Source organism: Homo sapiens, chromosome 13 (assembly GCF_000001405.40).
Source record: "Homo sapiens chromosome 13, GRCh38.p14 Primary Assembly".
Lineage (NCBI taxonomy): Eukaryota > Metazoa > Chordata > Mammalia > Primates > Hominidae > Homo > Homo sapiens.
Window position 1 is genome coordinate 107,527,268 of NC_000013.11, and position 26,106 is coordinate 107,553,373.

Sequence of the window (26,106 nt, forward strand, 5' to 3'; positions counted from 1 at the left end):
CTTGGCTCCTTTGTGATAAATTAACATCAGCGAAGCGTTCAGGGGATATCTTTGGGAACATGAACAGAGAAATTCTGACAGGCCAGAAGAAGAAAAAAAGCTCTGAGAATGGCATAGATATGTTCGATTTTGGAAGTTTAAATCTTTAGTTTTCAAAGAGTTAATTAAAACAGTAAAACGTTTTAATTACGCATATGCATGGGGCATGCAAGTATGCACACACAAACACAAACATACACGTTTTCCATGGCTGATAATTAAATACAGATTTATACGCCTCAATTTAAAATGCTCTGGGCACGTAAAGTCTGATATGGTTTGGCTGTGCCCCATCCAAAGCACATATTGAATTGTAGCTCCCACAATTCTGTGTTGTCTGAGCCACCCGGTGGGAGATAATTGAATCATGGGGGTGGTTTCTCCATACTGTTCTCCTGGGAGTGAATAAGTCTCACAAGATCTGATGATTACATAAGGAGAAACTTCTTTCGCTTGGGTCTCATTCTCTCTTGTCTGCTGCCATGTAAGACGTACCTTTCTGCTTCTGCCATGATTGTGAAGCTTCCCCAGCCACGTGGAACTGTGAGTCCCTTAAACCTCTTTTTCCTTTTAAATTACCCAGTCTCAGGTATGTCTTTATCAGCAGTGTGAAAACAAACTAATACAAAGCCTAACTGAATTTTCTTATTTAAAAAGAATTCTTGTATTTCAAAAGAAGTTAGTTTACTACAAAGTAATATAAACATATCTGACAAAATGAATTGTCATTAGGAATATAACTGAAAGAACACCCACTGCTATAAAAATGCGAGTATATATAAACATAAACATGCTTAAATAGTCAATTATTTGGTAAAGATAACTGAAAATGGTCTCTGCAATTAATCTGGACAGTAATACCATAATCTGCATGTTGGTAATAGCAATTTTTAAAATTAACATGTTAGACCTATTAGAAAAAAAAATAGTTCCACAATGGGGCCAATATGTTCATGTAAATAACAGAAACTTTGTCATAATAAACGTTATGTCATAATAAGTAAGTTAAAACTATATATTCTGGTTAAAACAAAAGCCTATATAAATATATTCTAACAAGTAACTGTGTGACATATCAGTTACTTGTAACCTTTAATGGATTCATACGTTCTTTTAGATTAAAACATGTCCCTTTAAAGAGGAATTCACTGACTGGGTCACATAAACTTTTGTTTCTTTTTTACATTATGAAATTATTCAAATTATCCCAGGCTCCAAAACCCTCTCTCTAAAACAAGCCTCGAGGGGAATTGCCTAATTTCAAAGGTGTCAAGCATCCGGCAGGCATCAAGGGATAAAGGCCTGTTCTCCAGGTGCGCAAGCCAGAACTGAGAATAAATTTGGGTCAACATAGATAACATAGTAGGTCCTGAGGAATTACCCCATCAGAGAAGGACAGTGGATGAGACAGCCTCCTGATACAAGCTGATGTCAGGAGTCTCTGATGTAGGTAGAAGAGTCATTGAAAAGATTGCTTGTCATCACGACGATTCATTAATACGTACAGTAAAGGACCCAGCACAATCAGTTAAAGAACCAAAGAGACCAAATACTGCTACCAAATAACCAAAGAAACAAAAGCACAATGAAATCTTTTAATAAACAGAAAAGGACACAATTCTTTCTATCATGAACTGTTAGGTACATGGCCTCTGCCCATGAAACGTGTTCCTCTTCCTGGCTAACCCTGCTTATTTTCCAATAAAAGTATGAATTTTGGACCTTTTCTACAGTGTTACTCAGTCTCACCTCTGTTTTCCCACGGCACCCTGACCAGAGCTTTATCCATTCATTTATGTTCTATTTCATTTGCTTAACAAGATCTTCCCACCAGAGAGAGAGAAGCCTAATGCTGGAGACTTTGTCTTAACCATGTTAGTTCTCTCAGTGCTTAGCATATGGCTGGCTGACTCTCAGCAAGTGAAGGAATGGGTGAATACCTGCATAGTGAATAATTATTCAAGAGCAGAGAAACGAGACCATAGCTCTGGTATTAACAAGTTGTATGACTTTCAGAATCACTTCACCGATCCAGGCCTTCAGATAAAAAAGATGAGTAGCAATTGGGTAGGCAGTCAGGAAAGAGAATGCCCCAGATGGCAGAAAGGGAATTTGAAAACGGAGATTTAAGCAAGCAAAGTACATTAATGAAACAGCAAATTATTTGGTAATCTTAGATGTTCCTCAAACTTTCTGCTTTTGACTTTTCATACAACCCTCAATATTCACACTATATGTCCTAGATGTGTGCAATTCAGTGGTCTAATCTGGACTTCCAGATAAAAGGCCAGCAAGGCTGACTTCCAGCTCTTCCAAGATGGCCCCGCAGGACAGTAGCCAACCATTCACCAGCTTGGCTCCCATTGCAATGTGTGTGTGATGATTGGAAGATGTGATGAATTAATTACATCTTTTTCCTTTTTTTAGATCTTCCGTAAGCTCTGACTGCCATGTGAGAGAGGAACGGGCATCACCTGAAGGAAAGGATGATGTCTCAGGACTTTCTAAGAGCAACAGAATGTTGGAAACTATCCATGGTAGGGATGCAGTTGGCTAGTTACAATGCTTGACATCCCTTCATCTAGTGGCCATGGGACTCCAAGGTATCTTTCCATAAAGAACCAAAGCCAAACTCACAATCTGCCTAAACTGCTATTCTCAGCTTTCAAGAGGAAGATGACTGTTAATACCCAAGAGTAAGAATAAGAAGCAAGGGTTCTATAGCTAACTCATGCCTTCTTTCCACAGCTCACTCTTATTCAGCAATATGGGCTCCCTTAGCTCCAACCCTCAAATCCCCACCTGGGCACCTTTACCTTGTTCTCTCTCCACCCTGGGACACTCTCTCCTGCCTATTAATGAGGCAGGCTCAGTCTTATGCTTTATAGCTCAGTCATCTACTTAAGGAGGCCTAAAAGCTCTGTCCAAAGACAAAACCTCCATCCTAGCAAGATAGTCTGCCTTTGTTTACTTCATAGCATATATCCCAATCCATAATTATTTTTATATTTGTTTCCTATTTACTACCTATATCCACCACTAGCATGGATACTTTTAAGCTACTTGATCATCTACTATATCCCCAGAGCCATGAAAACATCATACATAGTAAGTGCTCAGCAAATTACTTGCTGAATGAATGAAGTATATCCATATAGACTGAAGCAAAATCTAAGACATTCCTCTAAATTTAATATTTGTAAGATTTTTTTTAAATGACAAGATTTTTATGTATGACCTGTGATCATTTTAGTATATTCATAACATGTGGATGTATGCAGAAGATGGACTCATTCCACACAAAAATGCCATTGTACAAATACTATCTGTTGAGGCAGCCCAGCAGGTACTACATGACAAATAGGAGGCAAAAATAATATTGCAAATCACCACAGCTATAGAGAAAACATAGTATCACTTACATCATATTGATGTAAGCTGAAATCTGTCCAGAGCTGAGGCTAATCATTTGTGAAAAGCAGCTGACAATATAGAAAGAACAAGCATCTAAGTTATATATGAACTATTTTCACCATTCTCCTTATAAAGTTTTAAAAATAATATGAAAACCAGCAGGATTGCCTGAAATGTGAAAAGAACACTGACGATTTTTATTGTGATTTTTAGTGGAAACATTTTAGTTATGTAAAAACTGTTAAAGGGATAGTCTTTGTACCCTAAAAAAGAACTCTGCTGAACATTGTCATTCACATATATATATATATATACATCTGAGATATTTTATTAGGATGCATTCCTATATTAGGAATTACAGAACTAAAGAGGATGGACTTTTAACATATATTTTAACATAGCTCTCCAGAAATAAAAAGTTCTTGACCACTGATGGAGTCCGGATATTTGTCCTCATCCAAATCTCATGTTGAAATGTAATCCCCAATGCTGGAGGTGGGGATTACACTTCAACAGGAGATTTGGGAGGTATTTGGATCACGGAGGCAGATCCCTCATGAATAGCTTGGGCCATCCTCTTGGTGATGAGTGAGCTCTTCTTCTGAGTGTATGGCACCTTACCCCCAACTCTCTCTCTTTTGTTCTGGCTCTGGTCACGTGACAAAGACTGTTCCTTCTTCACCTTTCACCATGATTGTAAGCTCCTGAGGACTCCCCAGAAGCCGAGCAGATGCCAGAACCATGGGTCCTATAAAGCCTGAAGAATCATGAGCCAATTAAACCTCTTTGTTTTATAAATTATGCAATCACAGGTATTCCTTTATAGCAATGCAAGAATGGTCTAATATAATCAGTGACACTAATCATCAATATTATCTTATTAATTTTCCCAGTTTATTCAACATCAAAACCAGTACATTTTAGTTAAACTCACATTAAATGTTTGTATTTTTTTCATTTTATGAGTTGTCTGTCTGTATTTTTTTCCACTTTTATCTCAGTATGCTCATCTTCTTTTGTTGTTGTTTGACTGGAATACGTGTTGCAAGTAATTTTTCCAGCTTCTCATTTGCATCTTTTTTATGATGGTGTTAGATATGCCAAAGTTTTGTGTCATGTGAAGTATTATCTACTGATACTCCCCTTAGAATTTTTAAAAATTAATTTTATGCTTATAAACTTCTCTGCCATTTTGCAATCTTCTATTTACGTATTTGTTTTCTAGATGACTAACATGGCTTTTTCACAATCAAGTTCATAACGCAGCTGAATTTGCATACTTACCTAACTTGAAAATTTTCTCTCAAATAGTGAGTTATCCTAGAAGCATTTAATAGAAAATGCTTTGTTTCTTAACTGACTTACAAGCTACCCTTTTGTATACTAAATCCTTTGATGTGCTAGGTTCTCCTCCAAGTTTCTTGCAGACAACCAAGAACAAAATGAAAGAGAAAGAAAGTGAACAAAAGTAGAGTTTAAAAAGCTACAGCCTTTCAAGGTCAACATTTTAAAGTAAAACAGCATCTTTTTCTTTGAAATCTTATGGATTCCCACAGTGTAAAACATGCTTCTATCTAATAATCAGTATTAAAGAATCTATTAAGAAATTTCAATGATTTTTGTTTCCCTTGGCTGAGCTCTCATTATGGACTGTTTTGCTGCTTCCTTTCTCTATGAAGAAAAATCATTCATTGCTAGTGTTTTCTCAGTGTTACAATGCTTTTCCAATAAGCGTTCATTCTAGTGGTGTGTGCTTCCTCATCAACAAACATGAAATTTATCTTCTTAAATATCAAGAGTTCAGGTTATTACAAAACCTAAGGCTTACAGTGTGGTATAGTCCAAAATCATACTCCATAAACTACTGGAAAATTAATCAAATTATATTACATGAAGTTTTTATATACTCATATCTTTTGACTTGAGGTATTTCAAATATTTGAGAATCTCTTATAGACCTCATTTCAACTTTAATTTTTCTGTCTCATGTGTTTGGTCCATTTATGTGATTTGCCTGGGACATTAATGAAATTCTCAAGAATGTTAATTTTCAGAAAATATAAATCCCTGAAAAGTTAGCAATTTAGAGATTATTCAGGAATATAATTTTGTGCTAGTTTCTAACGTAATATTGCAATTATATTAACTGAAGACAAAATATTGCCACCTAGACTTCAAAAAACATCTTAAAGGTAGTTGCAGAACTGTTAAGAAAACAACCTAAAAACAGTAGCCATTAACATATTAAAAATGATATAAAAATTAAGAATACATGCTAAGCTGGAAATTTAAAACATCATTTAGAAACCAGACACTTTGACTGGAGGCAGCTGTTGCCTCTCTTTTTGACTTAAACTTTTATTTAACTCATTCTACTAAAATTAATATCCCCACGAAAAGAGAGTTATAACCATAACTTTTAATGAGGCTCAGTTTTGCCCCTTTCTTTTTTCTCTGTTTTACATATTTTGTTTGTAAAGTGACTGTTAGAAACATTTATAGAAATTTACACATTTGAAATGCAGAGTGCTATAATTACGTGAGTGTAGGTTCTTTGCTATGGTTTGAATGTCAGATCCTCCAAAATTCATGTTAAAACCAAATCACCACAGTGACAGCATTGAAAGACAGGGCCCCTGGAAGGTGATTAGGTCATGAGGCTCCTTCACCATAAATGGATAAGGCCCTTCTGAAAAGGGCTTTCAGGTCTCTGCCATGAGAGGACACAGCCTTCCTCCCCTACAGAGGAGGCAGCCCTCATCCAACAACCGAACATGCCTGCACCTTGATCTTGGACTTCCCTGCCTTTTGAATGGTAAGAAAATAAATTTCTGTTCTTTATAAAGTACACAGTGTATGGTATTTTGCTACAGCAGCACAAACAAATGAAGATATTCTTTAATAACTGTTCAAATTAGAGATTCTGTGAATCACATAATTACCAGGAAAGGACTTGAGGAAGTATTCCAAAGGCCATCTTTCAGAAAACAAAACAAAACACACTCTCCAACAAAGCAACACCCCCAAATCTGTCTTTTGTTGAGGGTCTGTGATGCCTAACATGACACCATCCAGGATCATGTCTTCCGTTAAGGTCTCAGGAAAAGCTCAATACTTCTAAGGGAGTGTCTTTGTCATTGAACATAGGTAAAATCAGTTCTACAAACTGTTTGAAAATATAGAGTTAACATTAATGGGAAATGGGGAGGGGGAGAGACAAAAAGATCTATTATGACTTGGGGAGAACCAGGGGACCAAATATCCTGCAAAGAGGAAAATTACCTGTAAAAGGGAGAGGGAGACTGAAGAGAGCAGAGAGAAATGGAACGTGAGAGGGAAATCCAGGGTAATGATATAAAAATGTGGTCATTGGCCCAGTGGCATCAGCATCACTTGGAAATGTGTGTGAGATACGTAGGTTCTGGGCCCTCCCCAGACCTATGAAATCAGAAACTCTGCCGTGGTGCCCAGAGATGTATTTTCACAAGCCCTTCAGATGACTCTGGAAAGTATGATCTTTTTAGAGCCACAAACATGTTTACTTCAGAATTTTTGCCTCATCTTCCAATTAAAAACAATTTTAAAATTGCTAAAATATGTTTATATTTATTTTGATGCATATTAACATTTTCCTCTAAGAAAAACTATTTGTAATTCAGTTAAAAAAAGAACAAAAGGAGAGAGATGGGGAAAAGAGGAGCAATAAGGACAAAAGTTAATATGAAATACTAATGTTATTTTTTGTTTTCTTCCATCTTTTATTAAGTTCAGGTGTACATATGCAGAATGTGCAGGTTTATTACATAGGTAAATGTGTGACACAGTGGTTTGCTGAACAGATCAACATATTACTTAAGTATTAAGCCTGGAATGTTAATTTTATAATATACAAATAAGCCAGTATTTCCTACATTTTAGCTGAGGAATTTGTTAAAACATGCAGACCTCAGGCATCTCTCTCAGGGATCTGGGTTAAGCAAGTACAGTGCTGATGCTGACTGTATTTCAGACAAAACACTAACAGTGACTCTGAAGCAGGAGACCCCTGAACTACTCCATGACAACCACTGACCTGAAGCTTCTCCTCTGGATGGAAAGATAATTATTCTTTTGATTGTATGGTAAAGTACAGAGTATTCAGTGTGAAGCATTTTTTTCTTCTGACTCAAACGCATCCACATACCAAGATTTCTGCAGGTTGTTGGTGTATAATTATTTGCCTCAAAGCTTTTAAGCATCCAGATCAGCCATTTTTAAAGGAGTGTTTCTGTTATTGCTGTATAAGAATGCTTGTGATTTTTGCACATTGATTTTGTATCCTGAGACTTTGCTGAAGTTGCCTATCAGCTTAAGGAGATTTTGGGTCAAGATGATGGGGCTAAATATACAATCATGTCATCTGCAAACAGGGACAATTTGACTTCCTCTTTTCCTAATTGAATACCCTTTATATCTTTCTCCTCCCTGATTGCCCTGGCCAGAACTTCCAACACTATGTTGAATAGGAGTGGTGAGAGAGGGCACCCCTGTCTTGTGCCAGTTTTCCAAGGGAATGCTTCCAGTTTTTGCCCATTCAGTATGATATTGGCTGTGGGTTTGTCATAAATAGCTCTTATTATTTTGAGATACGTCCCATCAATACCTAATTTCTTGAGAGTTTTTAGCATGAAGGGCTGTTGAATTTTTTCAAAGGCCTTCTTATACACCAATAACAGACAAACAGAGAGCCAAATCATGAGTGAACTCCCATTCACAATTGCTTCAAAGAGAATAAAATACCTAGGAATCCAACTTACAAGGGATGTGAAGAACCTCTTCAAGAAGAACTACAAATCACTGCTCAACAAAATAAAAGAGGACACAAACAAATGGAAGAACATTCCATGCTCATGGATATGAAGAATCAATATTGTGAAAATGGCCGTACTGCCCAAGGTAATTTATAGATTTAATGCCATCCCCATCAAGCTACCAATGACTTTCTTCACAGAATTGGAAAAAACTACTTTAAAGTTTATATGGAACCAAAAAAGAGTCCACATTGCCAAGACAATCCTAAGCCAAAAGAACAAAGCTGGAGGCATCATGCTACCTCACTTCAAACTATACTACAAGGCTACAGTAACCAAAACAGCATGGTACTGGTACCAAAACAGAGATATAGACCAATGGAACAGAACAGAGCCCTCAGTAATAATACTACACATCTACAACCATCTGGTCTTTGACAAACCTGACAAAAACAAGAAATGGGGAAAGGATTCCTTATTTAATAAATGGTGCTGGGAAAACTGGCTAGCCATATGTAGAAAGCTGAAACTGGATCCCTACCTTACACCTTATACAAAAATGAATTCAAGATGGATTAAAGAATTACATGTTAGACCTAAAACCATAAAAATCCTAGAAGAAAACCTAGGCAATACCATTCAGGACACAGGCATGGGCAAGGACTTCACGTCTAAAACACCAAAAGCAATAGCAACAAAAGCCAAAATTGACAAATGGGATCTAATTAAACTAAAGAGCTCCTGCACAGCAAAAGAAACTACCATCAGAGTGAACAGGCAACCTACAAAATGGGAGAAAAATTTTCACAACCTACTCATCTGACAAAGGGCTAATATCCAAAATCTACAATGAACTCAAACAAATTTACAAGAAAACAACAAACAACCCCATCAAAAAGTGGGCAAAGGATATGAACAGACACTTCTCAAAAGAAGACATTTATGCAGCCAAAAGACACATGAAAAAATGCTCATCATCACTGGCCATCAGAGAAATGCAAATCAAAACTACAATGAGATACCATCTCACACCAGTTAGAATGGTGATCATTAAAAAGTCAGGAAACAACAGGAGCTGGAGAGGATGTGGAGAAATAGGAACACTTTTACACTGTTGGTGGGACTGTAAACTGGTTCAACCATTGTGGAAGTCAGTGTGGTGATTCCTCAGGGATCTAGAACTAGAAATACCATTTGACCCAGCCATCCCATTACTGGGTATATACCCAAAGGATTATAAATCATGCAGCTATAAAGGCACATGCACACGTATGTTTACTGCAGCACTATTCACAATAGCAAAGACTTGGAACCAACCCAAATGTCCATCAGTGATAGACTGGATTAAGAAAATGTGGCACATATACACCATGGAATACTATGCAGCCATAAAAAAAGGATGAGTTCATGTCCTTTGTAGGGACATGGATGAAGCTGGAAACCATCATTCTCAGCAAACTATCACAGGGACAAAAAACCAAACACTGCATGTTCTCACTCATAGGTGGGAATTGAACAATGAGAACACTTGGACACAGGGCGGGGAACATCACACACCAGGGCCAGTCGTGGGGTGGGAGGAGTGGGGAGGGATAGCATTAGAAGATATACCTAATGTAAATGACGAGTTAATGGGTGCAGCACACCAACATGGCACATGTATACATATGTAACAAACCTGCACATTGTGCACATGTACCCTAGAACTTAAAGTATAATTTTTAAAAAGTTAAAAAAAAAGGGAGTGTTTCATATGCACTTTCTTAGCCCAATTTGGAAACTAACTTAAACATGTATTCCCCTCTTATACATGCCACTAGTTTTATAACTGAGATGTAATATTTGATTAATATTTAGCTTTACTAATATAACTTTTTATTTAGTGAATGGAATCAATTTTTCATCATGCCAATGAAGGATATGAATGGAACTGAGATTTGTTGAACACTTGATTTCTATAGTAACAAAGTAATTTGTTTTTCACTTTGTCATTGCCACAATATTTTTACAGATTCATGCTAATAATGATACAGTTGTCGTCTTATATCGGAATGTGAAACTCAAAAGCCTTCAGGGACCATCCAGACAATAAGAATGAGAAGCAAACTAGGAATCCACAGAGACCCTGAGGATGTGGTCAGCTTCACAGTCCAGACTCCAGGCAGTGGCACTGAGTGTGGCAATGCACAGCACACAGTAAGTGGGGCCAAATTCTTCAAACTTTCAGATGGGCATGGTGGCTCATGCCTATAATCCCAGCACTTTGGGAGGCTGAGGCAGGTAGATCACTTGAGGTCAGGAGTTCAAGACCAGCCTGGCCAACATGGTGAAATCTTGTCTCCACTAAAAATACAAAAATTAGCTGGGCATGGTGGCACATACCTGTAATCCCAGCTACTCGAGACACTGAGGCAGGAGAACTGCTTTAACTGGCAGGTGGAGGTTGCAGTGAGCCAACATCGAGTCACTGCACTCCAGCCTGGGCAGTAAAGTGACACCCCATCTCAAACAACAACAACAACCACCATCACCACAACAAATTCTTCAAACTTTCCAGAGCAACAGTAATCTTAATTAATGTAGTGAAATTGTCTGATTTGTGAAGATTTTCCAGATCCAATAAAATATGATTGAAGACCACAATTGACTTTCAATTCTTCTATTTTCTACATCTGACCAACTTGTGCCATATATTCCAATCAAGCCATGTAATAAATGCATTTCTTTCTATTTGTACAATCCATATCCTTTATTTGGAAAACTTCTTTTCACTCTTCATGCTACCTTCTCTGTAAGTCTTTCATGGATCGGTAATCCTTGAACCATTTTCTTTTGAATCCCCCCTTACCCACAAAGTGTATTTTATAAAACATTTCCATTTGCAAAGATTTAATCGGCATAATCCTACAACATAGAAAATGTTACTTTTCTTATGTTAAAGGTGAAACCATTGGAGCTCAGGTTAAATTACCTTTCAACAAGCCAAGTAAATGAAGGACCTACATGGAGTTCTAATCATATGATCTCATAAATTCTGTTTGTCATTGGACAATATATCTCAAGATTTTGTCATTCAAATCAGACCTCAGTTCAAACACTGATTCTTAGTTCTAATCATATGATATCATAGATCCTGTTTCTCATTGGACAATATATCTCAAGATTCTGTCATTGGAATCAGACCTCAGTTCAAACACTGATTCTTACCTGAAAACTTGAGAAAAATTGCTTAATTTCTCTAAGCTACAGTTTACTTCTCACTAACATGGGGATCCTATCTGTTCCACAAGATTGTTTTAAGAATTATAATAGATAATATTTATAAACGGTCCAGCATAGCACTTTAAATATAGTTAATGGTCAATATAGCTTAGCTTTCATAAAAATAATTTAGAAATTACTTAATAAATAGTACCCATTCTTATTATAATTATGATCATCCATCCATCCATCCATTCATTCATTTTGCTCTCAAATATCTATTTAGTATTTATCTCACTCAAGAAATTTTGCTAAACCCTTGGTAGGTATACATTAGTAAACAACACACATGTGAACTTCTTATTTTTAATACATCACTGGAATTTGGGTACTAGGCTGTGGTAGGCTATTTTCTTAGACCATTTTCCATTGCTCTAACAATGGAATATCACAGACTGGTCAATTTATCAAGAAAATAAGCTCATTCAACTTATGATTCTGGAAACTGGGAAGTCCAAAATCATGGCATCAGCATCTGGTGAGGGTCATCCCATGACAGAAGGATGGAAGGCAGAAGCAAGCGTGCAAGACAGAGCAAGAAGGAGAAGCATACTCACTTTTACAACCATCCATTCTCACAACAGCAAACCCACTCCCACGATAATGAAACATGAATCCATTGAAGAGGGCTCTGCCCTTGTGAGTCAATCACCTCTTATTAGCCCCGCTTCTCAACACTGCTGCATTTGAGATTAGATTTCCAACACATGAATTTGGGGAACACATTCAAACACCTTCAGCATAGGGTTGACAATCAAAGAATGTTTGCTCAGTTCAACTTAATTTTCTAAACTTATTTTTCATCTATAAAATGGGGAGAAATAAGAGATGTTTTATGAGATGACTATTAAAAAACAATACATTAATATTCTGAAATAGTATAAAATACACAAAATATTTTATATAGAGTTAATTAAATGACTGTGTTGACATTATTTGGATATTTACTGACTTGCAATGGCTCTTTGAAATGTTCTAAATCATATGACTTATATGTTTACACTTGCAGTGGTTATGACTTTGTGTCTAAATCATAATTGGTGAAGCTAAGACTCAAACTCAGTTCTATGACTCCAATTCACAAATTCTTGACTAGTATGAAGTGCTGGTTTTGCTATACATTACTGAGACGTATAAACTTACAGTCTTATTTCTAATGTTCCTAAAGATAGCATAACTGTAATAGTTGATGAATAGCTCTAATTAATAATTTCTTAAAATATCATTAAAAACAAAACAAGAGGAAAACGACAATAGATACCCATCAGCTTCTGATGTACACACACACACACACACACATACACATATTAGACAATTTGTAAAGCATTATGATTCTGTAGGCAATTCCCATCAGAAAAACACAGCTAAGTCGTTGCTTGTTATGATTCAAGGAATGCTCTTTATACCTTTGATGGTTGTGAATGGCATTCTCTTTAAGTATAGTAGGAATAGGATTTTACATGGAATGTTTGTCAAGCTCTAGTCTACTGAGAGGAAATGGAATTCCAGATTCTTCAACCTCTGCTAAAGCTGAAATATCTAACATATAAAAAATATTTTTATTTTAATAAACTTGAATAAACTGCCTCTGGGTTTGATTTCAGCAGTTTTTTAATATACTTATACTACATAAACAACATTTAAATTTCTAACTTCTCTATCATGACCAAAAGGTTGTATCATATATCCTAAAGTTGCATTCTTGATTTCCTAAAGTAAATATTTTATATGTATGTATATATGCTCACTAGAGGCAGAAAATACAGACCTTTTAGAAAAGGGAACAATTTGCTTTTGAAATGCTGGATCAATCGAAAGCTCTGGCGTTAATTTCCACAGTGACTGCTGGTACTCATGTTGCCTGAATTTTAAAATGTTGGTTTCATTAGGAGTAAAAATCATTTAGTCTTCTCCTGCACTCTAAACATTTTATACAAACTAAAGTCATCCAATTTCCAAACTCCTGCCAGCACAACAAGCATTAAAGTCTGGGATACATATGTATGTGGTGATGTATACATTGGCCAAAAAAAGTTTTTGGATATTCCTAAACAAGAAACTTTAAAAACACACAAACTTGAATACATAAACTTATTTAGAAAAGAGTAGATTCTGCTTAAGAATCCATGAAACACTATGGCACCCTTTTTAAAAAGACAATTCCAGTAACACTTCATTAGGACATACCCCTGTTAAATTAACTTTACAGACTTCTAATGGATTTCTTAATTAGACTTGTTATTAACAAGAATATTAAATGAATTAAAAACAGCTCTGACAGCCTCTTGTAATAAACAAAAACTGAAAAGCAAGATTCATGCTCTTTACTTTTCCCTACTCAATCCAAAGCTTTTAATAACCTTACAAATGTACTGCAATTAATTATTCAACTGTCAAAAAATAAAAAGCTTGGATCGTTACATGTCTGTTTGAAAACACATTTTTGTTATTTCAAAGATGAGGCTGGTTACTGGAGCTGCTCTTCTAGTCTTGCTTTTGAAGAGGCTGTTCCAGCATGGATGGTACATTGTCCTAAACACCGTTGTTGTTTAAGGACATTAATTCAGTATGTCTCTGTCTGCAGAAGTACCCCTTCTCTTCCTTCATTTGCTAGATAAAAAGAAGGGCATTTAATCAAAAGAGAAGAATAGTCGAATTCATAACTCAGAATTCTTGAATGACCAATCTCTTTTGAGTTTAAAAAGAGAAAGAGAAGGAGAGAGGAAGAAAGGGAGGGATGGAAAGACAGAGAGGGCACAAGATTTTCCCCTGTGGACCACACCAAAGCCCTTATGATCTGATACTGACTTTAAATGCATATAGCTTTATATATGCACTGTGCCCTTCAGTTTTATTTTTATTTTGGTGATATATGTGTGTGTGTGCAGGTGTCTGCATGTGCCTTTACTGATAATGACATGATAGTCTTCTACTATAAACATGGAACAACAGATACAGAAAAGAAAAAATATTGTTTCCTTAGGATAAAGAAGAGCAGCAGACTCTGCTATACTTATTGATTGAACCTCTATTCCTCAATGATGATGGCTTTGTTTCAGTGAGATTTTAAGTATAGCTCCAAGAACTAAGTGTGGCCACCCTCCAGAGTTCTATATACTTTGCCAAGAAGTCCAAAAGATTCCTTGATAACTATGAATAGAGAAGTTTCAGAAAACAAGCACTGTGGAGCTGACCACAACCTCAAGGTCTCTGTGGAGCCCTAGCTTGCTTCTCTCATTCTTATTGCCTGGATGGTCCCTGAAGGCTTTTGAATTTGATATCCCAATGTAGGAAGTGAAAACCACCCAAATGCCTATCAAAGGATGAATGGAAAACCAAAATGTAGTTTATCTGTACAATGGAATATTATTCAGTCATGAAAAAGAATGAAGTACTGATACATGCTACCACCTGGATGAACTTGGGAAGCATTGTGCTAAGTGAAAGAAACAAGACACAATAAACCACATATTATATGATTCCATTTATATGAAATATTCCAAATAGGCAAATGTATGGGACAAAAGTAGGTGAGTGGTTGCTTCAGGCTGGTGGGGGAGGGGGGCAATGACACTGTAGAAAGGTAGTAGCTAAAGGAAACTGAGTTTCTCTTTGTAATGAGAAAATGTTCAGAAATTGACTGTGGTGATAGTTTGACATATCTGTGAATATATTAAAACCCACTGAATTGTATATTTCAAATGTGTGAATTGTATGGTATGTCAGTTATAAGTCAGTAATGCTGTTTTTAAAAAATTAGTTGAATCAGATATGATCCAAATGTACTTTTTCACTTAAAAGAACCAGACATCAATATCAGTATCTCCACTCAATCAAATGTATTTATTTGACATGTGATTAGTATAAAGTCTGAGCCCAAAAGTTTCCATCAATAAACCATGTCAATTAAATGTAAAATTAAAACAATACGTTAGTAGTTCTATATGTATTGCTGTTGGAATATATGCTGATAATTCCATATGGCTACTCAGCAAGTAAATTTGAATTCTTAGCTTCAAATTTTTCTTAGAAAATCTATTAACATATTGTAAGTTTAGTCAACTAAAAAGACACTATCATTTATCATTTTAAGTCATGTTTCCAAAACATTAGAAACCATGGCATCAAAATAGTTTATATTTCTTGATAATTATATAAATGTTCTTTTGTCCATTTGTCACAACTTTTCTCCTCACAGTTTATAATAATCACTGTTCTATCACCTTCGCAAACACTATTGTCATGTTTCTTATATCTGTTTACTAAAGACCCTTAATTCATTCAGACAGATATATTAGTTGAAATCACTCTACTTGCATTCTGAACAAAAGCTACTTAACAGACTACCTGAATATTAACTTAAGAGCCAAATGATTATCTTTTGAAAAAGATATTTACATTTAAAAGGGCTATCACTAAAACTAAACTTAAATGTAAATTAAGGTATAAGGAAAAAATATAAATTAGGGTATGTTTAGCATGGAAACTTAAAACTAATGCTACATAATATGTTATGATTTCATTTAGCCCACTTTATATAAAATTACAACAACCATAAAACAAAACAAAAAAACCACATGTCATGAATTCAATTGTAATTAACTTAAGATACTATTCAGGCTCACTCACAGAGAAAAGGATCCACGTCTGTCCTGTTCTTTTTATATAAAGAGGCAGTTACAATTCAGCCATAATAGGTATTCACTTATTAGATATCTTCCTAGAAAAAAATCTGCCATATATACACATATGCTCCTTGACTGAGTTGCATCCCAATAAACCCATCACAAGTAAGAAGTATTCTGTCAATAAAGTATCTGATCCTTTCATAAACTCATCACACAGTTGAAACAGTGTAAGTTGAACCATAAATTGGGAACGGTCTGCATATAGATGTGTGGGTATATATATACGCGTATATACACGTATATATATACACACACACATACATACATGTATATATACACACACATTTATACATGTATATATACACACACATTTATACATGTATATGTGTATATATACACATATATACCCACATATATACACATATGTACCCAACTCTAAAACCTCTAGAGTTCTCAAACTAAAGAGCGATTCAGAGGTGCAGAGAAAACTAGAAATGAAATGGTGGAAATATAGTGGCAATTTAGTGTTAAAATATCTATGGTTGATAAAATATTTTTATCATCAATTCTATATAACCAATTTTTTAAAAAATCTACCTGTGGAGTAGGGGTGATGTTTACAGTCGGAACAACAATCTAAAAGTCAAAACATAATGTATTTTGATACTCAAACATATCAGAAGGCACCCTTCTGCTAGAATTAATGAGATAATTGAAATGTACAAACATGATAATAGCATGCCATATGCAGAGCAATCTAAATTATGAAATTCATTCTAAATAAGCTATCTCTTTCACTCACATAAAGAGGTGGGCTGATGCATGCTTTTAGCTAAGTGGCCTCAAACACAGACACTCTCTAGGATACCGAAAGAAAATACCATTTTGACTTTGCAATATCATTGAGTTAGGAAAGCTTGGCATTTGTGATATTTTAATATGCCATATATTCCCAGTTCAGAGACTACTTTATTTCAAATGACTCAAGCCATAATTGAAAATAGATGTGTTAACTATTAAAAATAAAGAAAAACTGCAATTTTGCCCAACTCTTTCACTAGAATAAACAAAATTATATCTCAGAGACAAAATAGAAGCATGAGCAATTTCTGAAGTCAGAATTCTAGTTCCATCTAAACCATTTTTGCTGCTAAACTTAGACAAGTTTAGAACCCCACAGTCCATATCCTGATTTAACTGGCCAAAATGCCACCACGGGCACTCGATAGCCATGACCCTTCACAGGACCCTTGGTTCTATAATCATCTCAGTGTAGCAGCTTTTTAAGTTTCTTTTCAGATCCAGGGAGAAGCCTATTATTGACACCAACTAATGCTTTGTGACAGGACTTTCATCCCTGCCTTGAAGGAGAAAAAAAGTGGGGAGCATTCAGCACATGACTAGAGAAGTAGAAAAGAGATTCATTCATAAAATATTTGGAACATCAATTCTGTGTCAATCACCATGTGAGGAGCTGGAGCTACAGGTGAACAGAATGGAGATCACCGTCCTCTGCAGAAGACAGGCTCATGACTGTGCGACAACACAGTCACAAAAATAAACATACAGTGACACACTGTGCTGAATTCTCTAAGGAACACACACAGTTTTGTTCTGCGTTATGGGCTAAGTTGCCCCCTCAAAAGATATGCCGACGTCCTAACCCTTAGTACATATAAAGGTGATCTTATTTGGAAATAGGTCTCTATAGATGCAGTCAAGTTAAGATGCAGTTCCTAGGGTGGAGCCTAATCCCATATAAAGAGCATTCACATAAGATGAAGAAACATAAAGACAGATACATGCAGAGGGAGACAATATGGAGAGACACAGGGGGAGTGCTGTGTGCTGACAGAGGCAGGGATTGCAGCAATGCACCCACAAGCCAAGGATAGCCTGCAACCTGGAAGCTGAGAGTGGGGCAGGAAACAAATTCTCCTCTGGAGCCTTCAAAGGGAGCACAGACCCTCCAACACCATGATTTCAGACTTCCAGCCTTCAGAAGCAGGAGAGAATACATTTCTGTTGTTTTCAGCCACCTGAATTCAGGTGTTTTGTGATGGTAGCTTGAGAAAGCCAATAGACTACAGCAGAGCAAACCAGAGATGTCTGTGTTTATCTCAGGAAGGAAGGACTAGGTCAGGCAAGAACTCCCTGAAGGACAGTTGGAGCCTGAGATCTGAAAGACCCATAGGGTCAGAGCAGATATGGAGCTGAGGGTCAAGTGTCATTTCCAAGCAGGAACCAGCATGGTCTGAAAAGGTGAGGAAGCAAGACGTACGACGCATCCCAATGGGAAGAGGTGGCTGTGAATGATGCTGGGAGAATGTGGGCAGTGTGGGGTGGAAACAGGCAAGATAGGCAGTGCGAGATGGTATAGACTGAAAAAGAAAGCCATTGGGTGGATTCTATGTATGACTCTCTTCCTGAACCTCCTAACACCCTGGAATTGCATGAGTAAATGCTAATCTCCCTAATAACTAATATCCCTGATAACTAGTTTGCCTCTGTACAGACTTCTTCCTCATAGCAAACATCTTAAATGATGTTGCATTTTTCCAGGCTTGTCTTTGTTAGATAAAAACAGGGGCTTTCTTTATACTGGAGTGTTCTGGGCTCTGGGTCAAGCATTGGAGAACATTTTTTCAGCTTTCCCCAGGGTCCTCGGCAGATCACCTGAAACCGCTGGGCCTTCATTCTTCCCAGCAGTTATAGCCAACAACCCGATAAACCTGCCAACACCCACTTGGCCTCTTGCACCCTGGGGCCAGTGTGCCAACAAAGCCCATTGCGATTTATTCCATCCTGCTGCTCTGCAGACAGGCCTCATGAAAAGAGGGAAAGCTGCCACTTGAACTTAGTGCTCTTATAATAACACACACCTACTGCATTTGTCCTCAAGGCAGGAGGAATCAATACGAAGCACAAACACACCCTGCTAAGGTTTTCCAGGCTAGGCTTTCCCAGCACAGGTTTGCCCAGAAATCCTCTCACATGTTTCCTCTTAATTGACCTCATGGGTGATATGTCCAGAATATAATGGGCTGAGTTATTTCATTTTAAACTAGGATCAGCTCTCCTAAATACTGCATTCATTTGTAGATTCAAGTTCTACATTGGCCTTTTTCTTTGCACTTCCAGGGGGCAAAAGAGCTCGAGCTAAAACCTGAACCATTGCTAATACAAATCAATATTTCTCTATAAGGCAAGCTTAATTATTTTGTGGTTTCTCTCTCTCTCCCGCCCTCTCTCTCTGTCTCTCTCCCGGCTAGCTTTCCATCTATGCCTAAATTTAAAAAGTAAACAAATTCCACTGATGTAGTATATCAGTAAAATTACCTTTTAGGAAATAATACAAATATTGTGATATACGACTACCAAGCTGTGTGTGTATACTGCATTATACATCTAAGTAGCACTTCCTGCAGCACTCAGTATACTTGAGTGCCTAATATAATAAATGCCATTTTATGGTATTGGAGGAAATATGGGAGAATAATTTACAGATAAACATTGGCAAGCCTAGTATTCTAAACCCAACTCAACTATTAGCTGTGTGACCATTATGGAGTCACCTGACTTCTCTTACCATCTTAGGCTGCTCATTTGCAAGTGGAGATAATACCTGTATCATAGTTTTGTTATGAAAATTAAATAACATATTTGTAAACATCTTTGTTCAATGCCTGACACTTTGAGAGTGTCCAATAAATGATGAGCATTGATAATCATCACAATATATAAACAGAAAGTACAAATAACAACATTCATTCTTCGACTTCAACCACATCAGAAGAGTGCCTCATATGTATAATAACATGATTTCTAATATTTCTGTGACAGAGGGTGAAAAAGTTGTTCAGGTGTTTTCCTGAAAGAAACTGTTCTATTGAAACTGAAATCCAGAAAAATTGAATTTTGTTATAAAATCCCAGATTCTTTAATTTGACATTATTTACTAGAATAATGTTAAATTTCAATTACTTTGGAACTTAAGAGTCTATAATAAATATCATCTGTTGGTTACCAAATTTTTAAACAATTGTTGAATAATAACATGGTTAATAATTATTGAATGTTTCTCATTGGCTAAGGACTCTGTAAAGTACTTTTCATGGATTAGTTTAATTAATCCTCACTACAGTTTTATGAGGTGGCAACTACCATTATCCCCATTTTACAGATGAGGTTACCAAGGCACAATTTGCCGTTATGATACATGCAGCACATGGTGAAGCCAGTTTAGAACACAGGCCTATGCTCCTGGCTCACACACACTGTCCTTGCATCTATATCATCCTAAGCACTTGGGGCCACATTAGAGCAACTTCACCCAGGACAACACGGCATTTAACAGAGTGGTAATTACCCACTTCTCTTAAATTGAAATGTATTCATATAGTCTATAATCTGATGAGATTATTGGTAGAACAAAACAGTGTTTAAAAAATTTAAAGAGAAGGGTTGCGACTGCAAGACCAGCAGTAGTAGCACAAGTAATTAAGGAATAGTGAACACTCTATTAGGAAAAAATAAATAGGAGATGGCCCATGCTTGTCTAGAAAGCCCCTTCCTATTTTTTTTAAATTTTAGGTTCAGGAGTGCACGTGCAGGTTTGTTATATAGGTGAACTCGTGTCACAGGCATTTATTGTACAGATTATTTCATCACCCAGGTATGAAACCCAATATCCAATAGTTATTTTTTCTGCTTCTCTCCCTCCTCCCACCCTCCATCCTCGAGTAGCCCCCAGGGTCTGTTGTTCCCTTGTGTTCATGAGTTCTCATCATTTAGCTCCCACTTATAAGTGAGAACAAGTGGTATTTGGTTTTTTCTTCCTGTGTTAGTTTGCTAAGGACCACGGCCTCCAGCTCTATCCATGCTCCCACAAAAGGCATAATCTCATTCTTTTTTATGGCTGCGCAGTATTCCATGGTGTATATGCACCACATTTTCTTTATCCAATCTGTCATTGATGGGCATTTACACTGATTCCATGTCTTTGTTATTGTGAATAGTGCTGAAAAAACATCTGCATGCATGTGTCTTTAGAATGATTCATATCCCTCTGGGTATACATCCAGTAATGGGATTGCTGGGTTGAATAGTAGTTCTGTTTTTAGCTCTTTGAGGAATCACCACACTGATTTCCACAATAATTGAATGAATTTACAGTCCCACCCACAATGTATGAGTGTCCTTCCTCCCCCTCCACAATCTATCAACTGCCATACTCTGCTGGAGATGGTTCCTTAAGCTTTCCAGACTGTTCTGGGCCCTGACCTGCTCCCCTCTTAGTTCCATAGCAACCCACAGGTAGCACCAAGCGTGTTCTGTTGGACCCATTGATGTCCTTCTTGACTATCTACTTGTAGCCTGTGAACTTGTAGAGGAATATCTAGCCATACACACACACGTGTGTGTGTGTGTTTGTATTATACATATAAATAAAATAAAAAATTTTATTATAAAGACAGCTTTGGTCATATTTTGGGAATCCAAATATAAGTATTATGCAGTTTCTGGGTGAGAAATGTAATTGTGAAAAGTGCATCTTGGTCAAGAAATACCATAATTGCACATCGGCCAAGTAATTTATTAACATATTGACTATAGATGTGTAATATGAGCTTTTACCTCCAAAATCCTGGACCTAAGATGATTTTTACATTCTACCACCTCAGATAATAAAGGTTACCTTACAAACATGTTCTTTTGCCAATAACAGTGATGTGGAATTGCTAAATGCAAAGAAGCTTAATTACCTTTGAGCAAAATCAGTAGAAGTTAATATCTCTGTTGCACTAATCTATGACATCATTCCTTACATTTATCAATTGAGGGTGACAGTGGGACTGGCAGTGATTACAGTAAAGAGAATATGAAGGATTTATATACTTTTAAGTGGAAGAAATATAGAGCTACTTGCTGTATTCATATTTGTATATTGAATAAACCTGAAATTTTTAAGAGGTTGCCATTAAGAGTCTCTAAGAACATAAACTAAAAATTAGGTTTCACATCAGGTGAGATTAATCAATACAAAGGTATCAAATTCAGCTCTGAGAACTACATACAAATTTCAGTCTTTAATTTTGAAGACATGTATCTTCCAGAAAAGTTGCAGAAATAGTACAAAGAAATGTAATACATCTCTCCACCAGATTCCCCAAATGTTAACATGTTAGTTCATTTACTTTATTATTCAGTGTGTATATATGGTTGTGTATACATATTTTTTGTATACTAATTGAGAGCAAGTTCCAGATATAATGCCTGTTTACCACTACATACTTAAATGTTTATTTAAACAAGAACAATCTTCTCATAACCATACTACAAGGATCAAAATCAGGAAATGAATATTGTTAAATTTTATTATCTAACCCATGGAGCTTATGGAATTTTCCTCAATTTCCCACTAACATTCTTTATGCAACTTTTCATTTTTTTTTTTCTGATACAGGATCCAATCCAGTTTCCAATAAGAATTGTATTTCCTGTCAACTATTCTGTTCATTTGGTCTAGAACACTTACTGAGTCTTTCTTTGCTATTCATGACCTTGGCATTTTTTAAGAAAGATAGACCATTAAATTTTTAGAAACTATCTTTGCATTTGTCTGATGTTTCTTCATCAGACAAATGATGACCCATAATCGCTTAAGTAAAATGACCACTTTAGACAGCATTGAAACCATCACATCCTCAAAGCCATTCCAGATATTGCTACTTTTGAGGGACTTTACTGTACATTTTTACAACATTCTTGGATAATGATTCCTCTCTTTGTCTTAACGTTCTTCCTTCTGTGTCCTCCTGGTTAATTTCCAGTTCATTTAAATTCAGCTCCAGAGCTCACCTCCCTCCCAAGTCTCACTGTCTCTGAATCTATACCTTGGGCTAAGGACTTCTCTGTGCTACTAGGGCTCCGATTGTTTCACTCATTATGAATTCATCCATCTTTATTGTTAAAATAAATATAAATGAACAACTGAGTGAAGCTTTGAGATTTCTAATCATTTTTAATACATAGAATAATTTATCATTTTGTTAACACTTTAACACACTGGGATGACATCTGATCCTGTCCCCCTTTCATAATTATAGTCTAAGTCACCAGAATGTCACAACCTTGTCCGCCAGCATCTCTCTCATTGATCTTTTCCTCGTTATTCAAAATTCACTACCTCAGTTCAGACCCTTCATTGTAGCACTTCTTGAATACTAAAAGGGGTTTCTGAATTTTCAGTTATTCTTGTTTCAGACAATTTTGTAAATAAGTCATTAGTCTTCCTTAGACATTTCTTTGATTAAGAATGTGAAGAGCTGAAAAGGAAAGAAGGGTGAGTTTTGCATACCAAAGAGGATAACTAGACCAATGAACTATAATGTTAGTTTAGGTCCTGGCTCAGGTGACCTGAGATGAAGTTCAAATATTCTGATCTGGAATTGAAGTTTTTCTCTAACTTTGAGGTTATTTCACTATTTATTGACATTCAGAAAAAAAAAAAACTTATTGTTTGTGCTGTTGTTTCCCCTTTAGTCTCTCTTTTTATCCTTATATGTTGTTCTTCCTGTATAAAGTACATATACCTGTGGCCCCGTATGTGGTACCTGTAACCTGATTTTTTCCTGAAATCACTGCTGTGTCCTTTCTCACTTCTACCTTTCCACTTTCACTATCACCAGAACCTTGCTGTATTCTTCTCTCTCTCTGGTCGTACTGCGTCTGAAGTACATGTGCAGAATCAAGTTTATGCACTTCTTGTGACGTCTCTTCTATGAACGAAGACATCTGTTACCTGAATCTCAGGTTTAAGTAACACTCTATTTGTTAGTTATTTGAATCCTATATTTACATACCATTGCATTTATGTCTTATATTTATGCAAATTCCCATTTATTTGTGTTTTAGCATCTCAGTTTTGTGTGCTTTCTGAAGTCGATAATCATATCTTTATCATCATTATGTGAATCCACAGTAATTTTAAAACAATAATGACAACACAACAAACCCTACCTCTTCACTGCTCCTTAATTTTGAGCTAGGGACAGAAATGAATGAGATACAATATCTGCAATTCATAAATGTGAAGGCAATTATATAAATATGTAAAACTTCATTTTATTTTATTAAATAGAATATTACATCGAGTAAAGTTATCATTTCTTGTGCCCCTACTATTATTTTTTCAACTGTCAAGATTGACGGTTGGGAAGCTGTCATCTTTATAATCATAATCTGAGGAGTGATTCATATAATTTCTGGAGTTTCAAAATCATGAAATATGTGACTCTTGCCCTTGATGTTGAAATTAACAGTAACCTCTTAGTGACCTCTTTTCTTAAACCTCTCTCCATAATCCTTGCAGTATTTCTTCTGTTCTACTTATTTCTGTTAAAGTATGAATATGTTTCTAACAAGGTTATTTATTACACTAATCAGGTCTACTCTGTACCTCTTAGAGTTATTCTTCAGTCATTAAATTTTCTTTCCTAAGAGCAAGTAGTTAATAAAACAATCAGAATCTATTTAAGCTTTTGTTTTAATTATAAGAAAATAGCCTCTAATTATGCTGTTAAAGGTTAATAAACATCTTCTTCAAAGTGTCAAGAAGTAAAAATTATGAAAGTAAACAGACATTTCTTGACAAGAATATATCCCCTCCAGAGGTGTACTAAAGGAAAATGCATGGGAAATCTAAGATAAATAGACCAATATCTTCAAGCTGCATTATATGAGTTAGAAATTAATTCTGAGATAGACATATTCCCTTACTACATTCTATGCAGAATGTAAATTTTTGGAAAGTGAGACTCTATCTATTCTTTTTAGTATATTCTCAGCACCCAGGTCATTGCCTGCTACAGTCAACAAATGTTTCCTGAACAAATAAATAAATAGAAATGCAACATGTGTCAATAAATATACCTCATGGTTACTATTTAGTTTCAAAATATGATATCGTTATTTAAGTAGATTAATGCATCGGGCAAATTGTGCATTAGCAAATTAGATAATATTAGGAAAACGCACAGCTAATTTAATAGAATTTCCTTCTTTACAGGGGAGAATGTGGTGATTTTAAATGTTACTCCAAAAGATAAGAAAATCAGGAGTCCATCAGTCTACAAACACACACTGGACTCATTTATGTGTATTAACATTCTCATAAGCTGAGGATCCAGGAACACCACTTACAGGCACCACGGAGTCCCCACCTCAGTCTTTCTAAGGGTCAGTCCCACTTCACTGTTTGATATTCAAGGCACTATAACACATATATTCATAATGATTCGGACTTTATTATAAAAGGAAAAAGCATGAATAATTATATTCTAGTTTTGTATAAAGTGGTGCAAGTTTTTTATTGTTCTTTAATCTTATGGTACTTAGAATATGGTTGACAGAATTACATCACATTTTTAGGAAGTAAAAGATGTGTGCTTTACCAGTGATTTACTGTCGTTTATATAATATTAAAATATTGTGCACAATATTAAATAGAGCTTAAATGTATAAACCCATTAATTTTCTCTTAAATACTCTGAATTGTTATCTACGAAATCAGTAGTTAAAATTTAATAACTAAAATTTAAAATGAAAGGCCTTCCTTCAGTTTATAAGATTTACAGGCTCAGCTCTCATAAATATAAATAGATGAATCTTCAATATCATCAATATATAGTAAATGAAAAGCAACACAGGCAAGATAAAAAAAGCTGAAATGGTTTGCAGAGGAAATTCTACCTAAAGTTTAAAGATAAGTGGTGTTTCCTGGCTTATAAAATTTAGAAACGCATTGCTAAATCTTTTCATAAAACTGGTTTATAACACGTAACAAATCCCCTTGTAATGAATGTACTTCACATTTCAGAAAAATCACATTTTTGTTATGTCTTGAGCAACTATCCATAATTCACCCCATGACAGTTTAGTAGACTTATATACATGTTACCTGACCCGTTCCG

General features: G+C 35.9%; 1 protein-coding gene, 1 long non-coding RNA gene and 1 other non-coding gene across 3 annotated transcripts in view; all 3 read right to left on the reverse strand.

The window, feature by feature from the left end:
* NALF1 (NALCN channel auxiliary factor 1) overlaps nt 1–26,106 on the reverse strand; it is a 703,987-nt gene that overhangs the window by 363,758 nt on the left and 314,123 nt on the right. The window lies entirely within an intron of this gene.
* Nucleotides 1–26,106, reverse strand: part of LOC112268110 (uncharacterized) — a 31,815-nt gene that overhangs the window by 3,766 nt on the left and 1,943 nt on the right. The window contains exon 1 of the long non-coding RNA XR_002957493.2: nt 1–26,106. This exon is cut by the window's right edge and continues 1,943 nt beyond it. This is a non-coding gene — a long non-coding RNA (uncharacterized LOC112268110).
* On the reverse strand, nt 3,904–3,981 carry MIR1267 (microRNA 1267). The gene has a single exon (NR_031671.1). It is a non-coding gene; the product is annotated as a microRNA 1267 (primary transcript).